We start from the raw sequence: 12,962 nt of genomic DNA, 5'->3' as shown, positions 1-12,962 counted from the left end.
TATGTTTATGACAGACTTTCCTATAATATTCTTATCATAATGTTCTTGCACTTGAAAGAATGTGCATTCTGCAGTTGTGTGCAGGTGTTATGTGTATTTCAACTGGGTCAAGTTTGTTAATCAGGTTGGTCAAATTATCTACATCTTTACTGATATTTTTGTCTGTTTTTCTATAAATTACTGAGAGAGGCTAAAGCCCGCCACTATTATTATGAATTTGTTTATTTCTCCTTTGAGTTTTGTTAATTTTTGTTTTATGCATTTAGAGATTGTGTTATTAGGTTCATACCCATTTAAAATTGACGTTTTCTGGTAGAGTGAACCCTTTATTATGTGAAATGGCTTTCTCTACCACTCACAGTGGTATTTTTTTCACTTTCCCCCTTATTTTTGAATTTTCAGTGTTCTTATAATGATGTCATGTCTCTTGAATAGAGTTGTTTTAATCAAGTCTGTCAATTTTTGTCTTTTGTGTATTTCGTGAATTTACATTTATTGTAATTACTGATATAGTTGTGTTCATAAATACCATCTTACTATTTGTTTCCATTTGTCTTACCCATTTTTGTTTTTATTTTTTTCTTTTCTGTTGCTTTCTTTCTGATTATTTTTTTAATTCCGTTTCCCCCCCTACCATTGGTTCTACTTACACATTCTTTTATAATTTCTTCAGTGGTTTCCTCCACAGATTACAACTTCTGTACATTATTATAATCTAATACAAATTTTACTTTTTATTGTTTCCCAGACAATGCTATGATCTCACAATACTCAATCTCTATTTACCTCCATTCTACTCTTGCATGTATATTATTATTACTCATTTTAATTTCACATATATTTTACACCTAATGAGACATTATTATTATTGCTATGTGCAGTCAATATTCATTTGTATTCACCCACATATTCACTCTGTTTTTTTTTATTATTTCCTGCATTTCTGTGATTCTATCATAGATCAGTTTTCTTCTACCTGAAGAATTCCCTTTAGTATTTTTTGTGTATGCACATCTGCTGACAGCAAATTTTCTCAGGTTTTTTTGTGTTTTTTTGTTTGCTTGTTTTTGAGACAGGGTCTCACTCTGTCGCCCAGGCTGGAGTGCAGTGGCATGATCATGGTTCACTGTAGCCTCAACCTCCTAGGTTCAAGCAGTCCTCCCACCTCAGCCTCCCGAGTAGCGGGACTACAGGCAGGCACCACCATACCTGGCTAATTCTTTTGTATTTTTTGTAGAGAAGGGATTTCACCATGTTGCTCAGGCTGGTCTCAAACTCCAGAACTCAAACAATCTGCCTGCTTTGACCTCCCAAAGGACTGGGATTACAGGCCACCTCACCCAGCCTTTCTCAGTTTTTGAATAGAAACATCTATTTCAAATTCATTTTTAAGTATATTTTGTGAATATAGGATTACAGGTTGACACTTTTTTCTTTGAGGAACTTCAGAATGGCACTCCATTATCTTCTCACTTCCATCATTTCTGTTGACAAGTGATTTTCAGTGCTATTGTTTCTCCTTTGAGAGTAATGTGTCAGTAACGTGCGCTGGCTCATGCCTGTCATCCCAGCACCCTTGAGCCCAGGAGTTCAAAACCAGCCCAGGCAACAGAGCAAGATCCCCCACTCTACAAAAGAAAACGACAGGAGGGAGGCAGGAAGGAGGAGAGAGGGAGGGAGGGGAAAGAAAAAAGAAAAGAAGAAATGTGTCCCTCCTACCTGCCTCTAGCTGCTTTTAATGTTTTTTCCTTGTCTTTCATTTGCAGCAGTTTAAGTATAGTGTGCCTGGGCCGGGTGCGGTGGCTCACGCCTATAATCCCAGCACTTTGGGAGGCCAAGGCCAGTGGATCACCTGAGGTCAGGAATTCGGGACCAACCTGGCCAACATGTGAAACCCCATCTCCACTAAAAAATCCAAAAATTAGCCAGGCATGGTGGTGCGTGCCTGTAATCCCAGCTATTCAGGAGACTGAGGCAGGAGAATCGCTGGACCTTGGGGAGGCGGAGGTTGCAGTGAGCTGAGATCGCACACTACCGTACTCCAGCCTGGGTGACAAAGAAAAACTCCGTCTCAAAAAATAATAATAATAAAAAAGTATAGTGTGCCTGGATGCAGTTTTGTTTTTATTTATCCTGCTTGGGGATCATAAAGCTTTATCAGTTTTGGAAAGTTCTCAGCCTATATTTATTTAACTGTTCCTTCTGCCCCATCTTCCTCCCTTCTTCTAAGACTCCAGTTACGTATGTATTAGGCCTGTTCACCACTTCCCACAAGTATCTTATGTTCTTTGCTGTATTTTCCATACTCTTTGTCTCTGTTTTTCAGCTTAGAGTTTTTATTCTGTCCTGTATTACAGTTCAAAGAATGTTCCTTCTGCTAAATCTAATTGTAGTTAACCCATATGCTAAGTACTTAATTTCAGTTATTGTATTTTTAAGTTTTAAATTTCCATTTCATTCTTTCTTATAGATTCCAGTTCTTTGATGAAAGTCTCTATTCCACCCATCAAGTCTGTGTCTGATAACACCAATATCTGGGTCATTAGTGGCTCCGTTTTGTTGTGTCTGTTTTCCCCTCCTTCCTGTTTTGTGGTGTGTTTGATCACTTATTGTTGAATGCTAACCATTATAATAAATTTTAGTGGCTCCAGGAAACATTATCTGAAAACAATGTCTGTCTCAAGGGAGGGTTTACCATGTCATCTGATAGACAGAGTGGGAAGATTTTACCTTAATCCAATGGTACTGAACTGACTAGAGTCTATGTTGCAGTTTTTGGAAGGCTTCATCTCCATCTCTGGTTTGCCCATCTATCTAGAGTGTGGTCCTCCAAGGATTCCAGCTGAGCGTCTGATGTGATTATTAGGCTTCTTTTCCTTGGTGGGTCCTGAACTCCAACTTTTATCTCATTAATATGACACTGCCAAAACCTGCTGCCTTTCATAGCCTTTCTGCATAGCTTAATTCAGCAGATGCCTCAAGGGGAAAGTGTTCCTTTTCTGTGTCTCCCTTCTACATGATATCTCGGCCCCTTCAGTTCCAGCTGCCTTGACAACCTCAGTCTCCATTTCTTGTCTCTCCAGCTGAAGACTCTGCTGACTTTGCTGCCTCTTAGCTATGGCCGTCTGCCCAAATGCTCGGCCTCTTAGCTAAAATCAGCACGTTTCCTGAAAGGAAAAGTAGTTCACAGAGGGCCAGCTTGCCTCCTTGTGTTTTTCTTCTTTTGAGATTATGGCCCTTCAAATGTTTGTTAACTGGGAAGCTTTCAAAAAACTTTTTAAAAAAGTTTTCTGTGTTTTATTCAGCCTTTCCAGTTGTTCTTGGAATGAGTGTTGGTCTGCCTCAAGCAGAAAAAAAAATCTCAGAATTCTTTTCTCAGAAAAAGGATTCTCAGCAGAGAGTGATTTTATACACGGAATGGGATTAAACAATTCTTGGGAAAGCTGGTGAAGCCAACGAGGGAACAGTTACTTTTATCAGTGTGCAATTTTTTTGCTATAATGGTGCATAACAACTAATCACAACATGTCAATGCCATACTTAAATAAGCACTCATTTCTAACACATCTGTGGGTTGGCTGGAGGTGGTCTGAGCTAGGGTAGGCAACTCACTTTTTTTTTTTTTTTTTTTAAAGTTTCACTCTTGTTGCCCAGGCTGGAGTGCAATGGCACCATCTCAGCTCACTGCAACCTCCACCTCCCAGGTTCAAGTGATTCTCCTGCCTCAGTCTCCTGAGTAGCTGGGATTACAGGCATGCGCTACCACGCCCGGCTAATTTTGTCTGCCTTCCTTCCTTTCTTTCCTTTCTTTCTTTCAACGGAGTTTTGCTCTTGTTGCCCAGGCTGGAGTGCAATGGCGTGATCTCGGCTCACCGCAACCTCTGCCTCCCGGGTTCAAGCGATTCTCCTGCCTTAGCCTCCCAAGTAGCTGGGATTACAGGCATGTGCCACCACGCCCGGCTACTTTTGTATTTTTAGTAGAAACGGGGTTTCTCCATGTTGGCCAGGCTGGTCTCGAACTCCCGACCTCAGGTAATCCGCCTGCCTCGGCCTCCCAAAGTGCTGAGATTACAGGCGTGAGCCACTGCGCCAGGCCTAATTTTGTATTTTTTAGTAGAGACTGGGTTTCTCCATGTTGGTCAGGCTCGTCTCGAACTCCGGACCTCAGGTGATCTGCCTGTCTCGGCCCCCCAAAGTGCTGGGATTACAGGTGTGAGCCACTGCGCCGGGCCTGGCAACTCACTTTCAAGCTGGCTGGGCTTGGCTCCTCACATTTGTGCATTCTGAACACAGGCTGCAGGGACAGCTGCTACCCCCAGGGAAAGCTCTTTTCGTGGTGAAGGGAGAAGCATAAAAAGGCAAGCTGCATTGTGCATATGCATATCTGTGTCTCTCCTTATGTTGTGTCATCCAATATCCCATTGGCCAAAGCACGTCACATAGCCAAGCTCCAAATCAAGGGTCAGAGAAGTAAATGATATCTTTTTCCTGAGGGGAACTGCAACACTACAGGGCAATGGACACAGCCACAGGGAGGGGTGAAGAATTCAGGTGGACAATGCAATGAACCATGCTGATGTTTCCTGGAGCTGGGATCTTCAGGAGCCTGTGCTTGGCTGTGCCCATCCAGTCACCAAGGAGGAACCCCCCTACTGCAGAGCTGCTTTGGGGCCTCGATGCCATTGTTGCCAAACTGACATTCCATGATGAAAATGGACTGTAATTTGTACAGCTATTTGCCAGTTGTTTTTTCTATTTTGCACTGTGGAAATCTTTGCCCAAATTACTGCAAGAGTCTCGAGCATCCTGCTGTCGTAAGTGCAGAGTCAAAGGAAGAAAACGATGATTTTTTAAACCATCTTTCTGCTTTCTAGTCTCACCTGAGTGCCTCACATTTGGCAGAATCAACCTGGAATCCTGCTCATAAGACTATCAGGGAAATATAATTTCCAGACTTCCATTTCCAGAAAAATGTAATAAATACTTTTAAAGGGGATGGAGATGGTACCGTGTGCTAACCCCACTCTGAGACAAACCTGGGTCACAGGAACCATAGGGAAGATGTCTGCAGTAGAAGGGGACCTCGAAGTACTCAAGTACTTGGCTCACAACAGCACTATTCACATAAAGCCTGGCCTGCCCCTTGGTGACCTCCTTCCCTTACGCCTCTAGACTCTACTAGGTGATCAGAAATCCCTGCAAGCTAGTTGGGGAGGGAAGAGTGAAAGTGAAAAATGGAGAGGAAACACTGCTACCCGCCCAATGCCTGAAGCCAAATGCAAGCCTGGGCCAGGCTTGGGGGAGGAATCAAGAGGAAGCTTAAACTTAAAATGAAATCGAAAGTTTAGACTCCTACATGGGATTGGACATTTTAAATGCTGAACAGAGCCTATTTTTATAGCTAGAAGTTACAGGACAAATTTTTGGTTAACTGAGAATGATCCAAAAATCATGTGAATTTTGTGATCCAGAAAGTCACAGAACATGCCCTAGATTTTATCCCAGGGGCAGGGAGGAGTGACCTGCAGAGCAAGTTTGAATTGGTAAATAGAAAACAAGAATAAAATAGTTTGCTGTTTACATTCCATAAGCCTGGCTCTTTCAACATCATGGGTATATTTCTTGGTTGAATTTAGTATGCCACTATGACTCCGGATTGTGATATTTGCCTAGGATGTTTTGTCCTAATATTTAGTATGGAATTATTTGCCCAAATCACCTGCCCCTCTCCACTTGTAGCTTTATTTCAAGAGGTATGTTTCTCAAAGTGGAGTGACTGCCAGAGTGGGAGAAAGGAGCTAGCCCTTACAGCTGTAGTAGGTCTTTGTACATCAGCTTGGTAAATCTGCAAAGCCCCCCACCTTCCCCCCTCCCACCACCCCCAATCCCCACCCCGCCAGGAGCCTTCCCCACGTGTGGACAAGAGAGAAGGGAGGATCTGGGAGGATGTGCTGTTTCTCAGGGTCCCACAGCTAGAAGGTGGTGGAGCTAGAATTTAAATCACATTCCAAATGTCTAAAAATACTATCATTATCACATATTACCAGAGACACCTCAAAAAAGACAGAGACGCCCTGCAGGGCCGCAACATTCCCGCAGCCTGGTAGGGTCTGCTGGGGGCCCCATGCCTGTGAGAGCCGCTCCTGCCGCTGCAGCACCGGGGAGGCTGTGCATTCAACGAGTCCTTCCTCCCTTCTCCTTTCATTCCATTCCTGCCTTCCTTCCTCCCTTCCCCCTCCGCTCCTTCCCCTAGACCTTCCTTCCGCCCTCCCTACCCCCCGCACGTCTCTCCCTACCATCCTTCTTTCTGTGTGAATTATCTGTTCATCTCCATTGCTGCAGTACCGTCTGGCAAATGATCTGCTTGGATCCTCCTGGCTTTTTGAGAATCGGCTGGCATCAGGGTGCTGACTGACAAACTTCCCGGGGTCTGGGCACGGTGGGGACGGAGCCTGCAGACGGCGGTGTCCCCGCTAGAAGAGCCGTGGGGACGTGATTAACAGGTCAGGCCGGGCCGCGAGGTGGCGGAGGGGCCGCGCTTGCGGGCGTGGGGCGCTGGCAGAACGCGATCCGCGGCCTGTGGCCCGCAGCCGGACCCGAGCGCCAGCCTCCCGCAGCGTGTCTCCAGCGCCCTCTACTGTTCAGCATCCTCCCCGCCGCGAGGGGAGCCGCGGAAGGGGATTCTGGCTGTGACCGCAGAGCAGGTATTAAAGGATGGATTTGGAGGTGCGAGGCCATACATTGACAACGGGTATACCATGCGTCCCAAAACCTTCCAGCGTGTCCCCTTCCAAACACTACCTCTCCCTCCCCACCAAAATAACCAAAATAACCAACGACCTGATTTTTATGGCAAACACTGCTTTTACCACCTAACCATGCAACTTCTCTCTCTCTCTCTCTCTCTCTCTCACACACACACACACACACACACACACACACACACACATATATATGAAGCCTGTTGTGATTTTGGTTGGGATTGCATTGAGATTTTCTTCTTTTTCCTTTTCTTTTTTTTTTTGAGACGGAGTCTTGCTCTGTCGCCCAGGCTGGAGTGCAGTGGCCTGATCTTGGCTCACTGCAAGCTCCGCCTCCCGGGTTCACGCCATTCTCCTGCCTCAGCCTCCCGAGTAGCTGGGACTACAGGCGCCCGCCATCACGCCCGGCTTATTTTTTGTATTTTTTTTTTTTTTAGTAGAGACGGGGGTTTCACCGTGTTAACCAGGATGGTCTCGATCTCCTGACCTCGTGATCTGCCCGCCTCAGCCTCCCAAAGTGCTGGGATTACAGGCGTGAGGCACTGCGCCTGGGGTTGCACTGAGTTTATAAGTCAATTCAGGGGAGAATTGACATCTTTAAAATACTGGGTCATCTAATCAGTTCACATGGTATGTACTTCTGTTTATTTACCTCTTCTCTCATTTCTCTAAATAATAAAGTGTCATGGACATCTTTTCATTAAATTTTTCCCCAGACATTTGAATTTTTATGCTACCATAAATGGTATTGTTTTAAAATGTTTTATTTTCTAACTCTTGCTGGTGTACAGAAATAAAGTTGGTTTTCCTATTTTGACCATTTATTCAGTCATGCTAAACTCACTAATTCTAATAACTTGTCTCTGGATTCTTTTGAGTTGTTAATAATACATACATAGTTTTGTATCTTAGGTCCAATCTTAGTATTTTTATTTCAACTTTTTTGCCTTATTACTCTTGTTAGGAATACCAGGAAAGTATTGAATACAAGTGATGATAATGGACATCTTCGTCTTATTTCTGTTCTCAGGAATGTTTCCACATTTCATTATTAAGGAAAATATTTACCATAGTTGTAGCTCCTTGAGATAAACAGTGTTAAAATTTTTTGGCCACTCTCCATTGATTTAATGTATGGTTTTCTAAAAACGAAATATTTTACATACTGTTTCTGAGTAAGATTTTTTACCCAATGCACTGTAAACACCAAAATCATATATTTTTATATAGTTTTACTTGGCTTACCTTGTTTTTTTGCTTTAACTTGAAAAATATTTCCCTGTTGTTAGGCCAGGCGCAGTGGCTCACGCCTGTAATCCCAGCACTTTGGGAGAGCGAGGCGGGAGGTTCACCTAAGCCTGAGAGTCTGAGACCAGTCTGGCCAACATGGAGAAACCCCATCTCTATTAAAAATACAAAATTAGCCAGGCATGGAGGCGCATGCCTGTAATCCCAGCTACTCGGGAGGCTGAGGCAGAAGAATTGCTTGAACCTGAGAGGTGGAGGTTGCGGTGAGCCAAGATCATGCCATTGCACTCCAGCCTGGGCAACAAGAGCAAAACTCTGTCTCAAAAAGAAAAAAATTCCCTGTTTATTCTTTTTTTATAATCGTTTTATTGAGATATAATTCACATATATGATTCATCCATTTAAAATGTATAATTCGATGGTTATTGGAATATTTACATTTCTGTTTAATTCCCTCAATTAATTTTTAAATCAACTTGTCAACTCGTATAGGCCATCCCTCAGGGACTTTGTTTATTGTTGAATTAACTCTGTATAGTACATCTTCCCAAACAGCAGGAGCACAGTAGAGTGTTCCACTAATTCTTGTCTCCTTTTATTTCCCTCATGATATTTAAATCATTTGCTTTCAATAAATTAAGCTCTTAAAGTTTTTGGTTTTATCTGTGAGCATGATTATTTTTATTTAGAATTATGTATTACTGTTATATGGTAATATAATTTTGTAAATCTGTTATGTGTAATTATTACTAGCATATTTTTTATTTCCTGGGATTATTTTTCTTAATATATATTCTAGTTATTCAAAATAGTGACATTTTAATTTATTTAAGACTTCCTGTTACAATTACATACGTATTTTTATTCTCAAATCATATAGCCAGCATTTCTACTGCTGAACAAAATGCTTTGAAATATCAATAATACATATATCTGACTTTTATCTAGAATACATATGTCTGATCAGTAAAAAGACAAACAACCCAATAAGATAAATGTGCAGATGACTTGAGAGACACTTCACAAATGAAGGTATACAAATGGCCAATGAGCACATGAAAAGTTGTGCGTCATTAGTCATCAGTGAAAGAGAAACCAAAACCAGGAGGTTCCACTTTACCGCCTCTAGAATGGCTACAGTGAAAATGACTGACATCTCAAATATTGGCAAGGATGTACAACAACTGGAAGCCTCCGTTTTGGCTGCGGAGAGTGTAAAATTGCACAACTTTGGAGCACTGTTTGGCAGATTCTTCTCAAGTTAAATATATACTTATCCAATAAACTGACAATCTCAGTCCGAGCTATTTAAATCCCTGCCCCAACAAAAACTTACGTCCACAACAAGACTTGTTTTAAAAATGTTTTTAGCAGCTTTATTCATAATAGTTCGAAACTGGAAAGAACTCAAATGACTTCAACAGACGAATGGATAATATATTCACACATTGATATATTACTGAACAATAAAAATGAATAAACTGCTGATTCACATAAAAATATGGATAAGCCTGAAAAACATTCTTAGGTTAAAAAAAGCCAGTTACAAAGGAATATATACTGTATGATTTCATTTACATGAAGTCCAAACACAGATCAAACTAGTGTATAGTGATAGAAATCAGAATGGTGGTTGGCCATCATGGATGGAGACTGACTGGAAGTGGAGATGAACGAAAATTCTAGGGTGATGGAAATGCTCCATATCTTGTTTGGGGTTCAGTTACATGAATGTATATATTTGTCAAAACTCTAAATTGTACACTTAAGACCTGTGCATTTAACTATACGTTTTCATGCAATTTTTTTTTAAATTCCAAGAAAAAGGATCTGATTGACCCAATTTGAGTCAGGCATCCTACTGTCTTTGCATAGTCAGTTTTTGCCAAGGAATCCAAACAAGCAGTATAGACGTGACCTAGAGAAGGGGCACCAGCATGGGCTTGGCTCCCACCCACAAAGTTCCAATATCTCCTACGTGATGTCAGTTTTGGGGACCAAAACCATATCATCTTTTTCTATTATTTGGATGTGATCTCTTTATTTATGTATGTTTGTTGTTGTTTTTATTTTTTAGAGACAGGGTCTCGCTTTGTCATCCAGGCTGGAGTGTAGTGGCAGATCATAGCTCACTGCAGCCTCAAACTTCCGGGCTCAAGTGATCTTCCTGCCTCAGCCTCCTGAGTAGTGTGTCACCATGCCTGGCTAATTTTTTTTTTTTTTAGTGTTTTATAGAGACAAGATCTTGCTATGTTGTCCAGGCTGGTCTCCAATTCCTGGCCTCAAGCAATCCTCCCGTCTCAGGCTCCCAAGGTACAGGGATTATGGGAGTGAGCCACCACACCGGGACTGATCTTTCTAACACAGGGAAATTGTATTCTTTAGAAGTGAGGGAATATTTCCTAGTAATTTGATCAAGTAAAAATAATTATAATAAAGAAGGTAAAATCAAGCCCTAATTCCCCATGTAGGGGAATAATGATATCATTTTGGTAAGATTCTTCCAGACAGTATGATTAGGATGTTACATAAATCAAACTGTGCTATATACAGTATGCAGAGAAGGACAATTCCTTAGCTTGTCTAAAGTCTGATAGTGTGAAGAATTTGCTGACCTGCTCTCCATGCCTGTCTGAGCACGAGTGAAGTGAATCAGAGAGAGATTGCAAGATGGAGAAAGGAGGTACAGTTGGAGAGAGTGGAGGGGGCAGGAAAGACCAGACAGAGCTGCATCTCCCATGAAAACAACTGTGTACATATGATAGAGTGAGTACATAGAGTACATAGAAGAGTGAGCTCTGAAAGAACTCTCACATGGACCCCAGAAAGAGGAGTACTCAACGCCTGCTGCACAGAAGGCATCAGCAGTTAAGTACTGGCTAGAAAAGCAGAGTCCATCAAAGGAGAGGACCACAGTGGTAGCTGCCTGGTAAGTACCACTGTCCCCTTTCCTTCTTTTCTCCCTCCCCAGCTCACTGGAGGAGCTAGGCCTCAGGAAGCTGGGAAGGAATGGGGAGAATTCACCTCGGTGACAGTTCACGCCCTCCCTCCAGCTCCAACAGCTGGAGTCAAAGGAAAGGAAGAGTGCACCTATCTCCTCCCCATTCCAAGTCCCTTTAGTGACTAGCTGGACATGCTCTGGAGAAGAGCAAAATGAGGCTGGAATTTAAACAATACCAGACTTTCTAAAACACAATGCCTGGGAAGTTATGTGAGGCATGTGAGACATGAGGGGATGGAAAAGGGATTCAACAGAGCATAGTTGAAATCAATGATTTAAAAAAACAAAAAAACTGGTTGATGGCTCATACCTGTAATCCAAGCACTTTGGGAGGCTGAGGCAGGTGGATTGCTTGAGCCCAGGAGTTCCAGACCAGCCTGGGCAACATGGCAAAACTCCATCTCTACAAAAAATACAAAAATTATCCAGGTGTGGTGGCACATGCCTGTAGCCCCAGTTACCAAAGAGGCTGAGGTGGGAGGATAGCTTGAGCCTGAGAGGCAGAGGTTGCAGTGAGCTGAGATCATACCACTGCACTCCAGCCTGGGCAACAGAGTGAGACCCTGTATCAAAAAAAAAAAAATTTCCATAGTTAATACCCTTTAAATGTGGACTGCTAAATAAAGCTAAAGCTAAGGAACATTAAAGAATACTTTATTAATTGAAAAAGCATGCTCTTCTTAAATAGTAAGCCTTAACCACTGAAAACATGTCCAAATGATCCATAAATTCAAAGCAATCTCATTAAAAATATCAATGGGATAAAAATGATTCTAAACTTATCTCAAGAACAGATGGCATGCCCACTAGGATGGCTATAATCAAAAAGTCAGATAATAATAAAAAGTGCTGGTGAGGATGTGGAGAAATCAGAACTCCAATGCATTCTCATGGGAATGTAAAATAGTGCACCTGCATTAGAAAAGTTTGGCAGTTCCTCAAATGGTTAAACCATACAACCCAGCAATTCCACTCCTGGGTACATACCCAAGAGAAATGAAAATATACATCCACACAAAGACTTGCACACAAATGTTCATGATAGTATAATTAAAAATAGCCAAAAAGTGGGAAAAACTCAGTTGTCCACCAACTGATGAATAGATACATAAAATGTGGTATATCCATACAATGGAATATTATTTGGCAATAAAAACAATGAAGTAGTGATACATGCTACATGTGTGAACCTTGAAAACACTATACCGAGTGAAAGAAATCAGTTACAAAGGACCACATATTGTATGATTCCATTCATGTGAAATGTCAGAATAGTGAAATCTATACAGCCACTAAGTAGAAGAGTGGTTACCTAGGGTTGGGGGAAAGAGGGTGGTTATGGAGGAGCGACTGTTAGCTCCTCTTAAGGAAGAGCTGTGGGGTGGTATAGTTAATGTAACTATGGATGATTGTTTTGGGGGTGATGAAATGTTCCAAAATTGAGTGTGCTGATGGTCACACACTCTGAATATACTAAAAAACACTGCAACATATACTCGTAATGGGGAATAAAAAAGAACAGATGGGCAAAGATGTCTGAGAAAAACAATTTTAATGAAGAAAAATATGGGGTACTTTTCCTATCAGATGTAAAGTTATAATAATTCTAACTGTATGGTTCTGGCTCAGCAATAAATATAGAACAATGAAACAGACTAGAAAGTCCACAGGTAATGCTAGCAGGAATAATAATTTCATATTATAATAAAGATCACATCTACGTCACTGATGGGAAAGAAAGAAATCAATAGTGTTGGGACAACCAGCTGACCATTTTAGGAAAATGAATCAGTTAGATCCATTCATACCATGCACTAAATTTTAGATAATTAAAGATTTAAATACAAATATAACAATCATAAATGTTTCAAAAAATTTTTTGAAGAAAATGTGTATAATCTTATAGTAGAAAAGAAGCTATCTAGGCATGTCATAAAATCTAGAAACAATAA

General features: G+C 41.6%; 3 annotated features.

The window, feature by feature from the left end:
• Positions 4,140–4,641: an enhancer, noted in NCBI's record as "H3K4me1 hESC enhancer chr10:88965395-88965896 (GRCh37/hg19 assembly coordinates)". NCBI's record gives its function as "activates a minimal SCP1, AML or CMV promoter by ChIP-STARR-seq in naive H9 embryonic stem cells {active_cell/tissue: H9 hESC(naive)}" and the evidence as "EXISTENCE:reporter gene assay evidence [ECO:0000049][PMID:30033119]".
• Positions 6,490–6,539: a silencer, noted in NCBI's record as "silent region_2579". NCBI's record gives its function as "represses an Ori minimal core promoter by ATAC-STARR-seq in GM12878 lymphoblastoid cells {active_cell/tissue: GM12878}" and the evidence as "EXISTENCE:reporter gene assay evidence [ECO:0000049][PMID:35858748]".
• Positions 9,142–9,241: an enhancer, noted in NCBI's record as "active region_3706". NCBI's record gives its function as "activates an Ori minimal core promoter by ATAC-STARR-seq in GM12878 lymphoblastoid cells {active_cell/tissue: GM12878}" and the evidence as "EXISTENCE:reporter gene assay evidence [ECO:0000049][PMID:35858748]".

The sequence above is a fragment of the Homo sapiens genome, chromosome 10, assembly GCF_000001405.40.
Source record: "Homo sapiens chromosome 10, GRCh38.p14 Primary Assembly".
Classification (NCBI taxonomy): domain Eukaryota; kingdom Metazoa; phylum Chordata; class Mammalia; order Primates; family Hominidae; genus Homo; species Homo sapiens.
The sequence above is the reverse complement of the archived record's forward strand: the minus strand, read 5'-3'. Positions and strand labels throughout refer to the sequence as shown.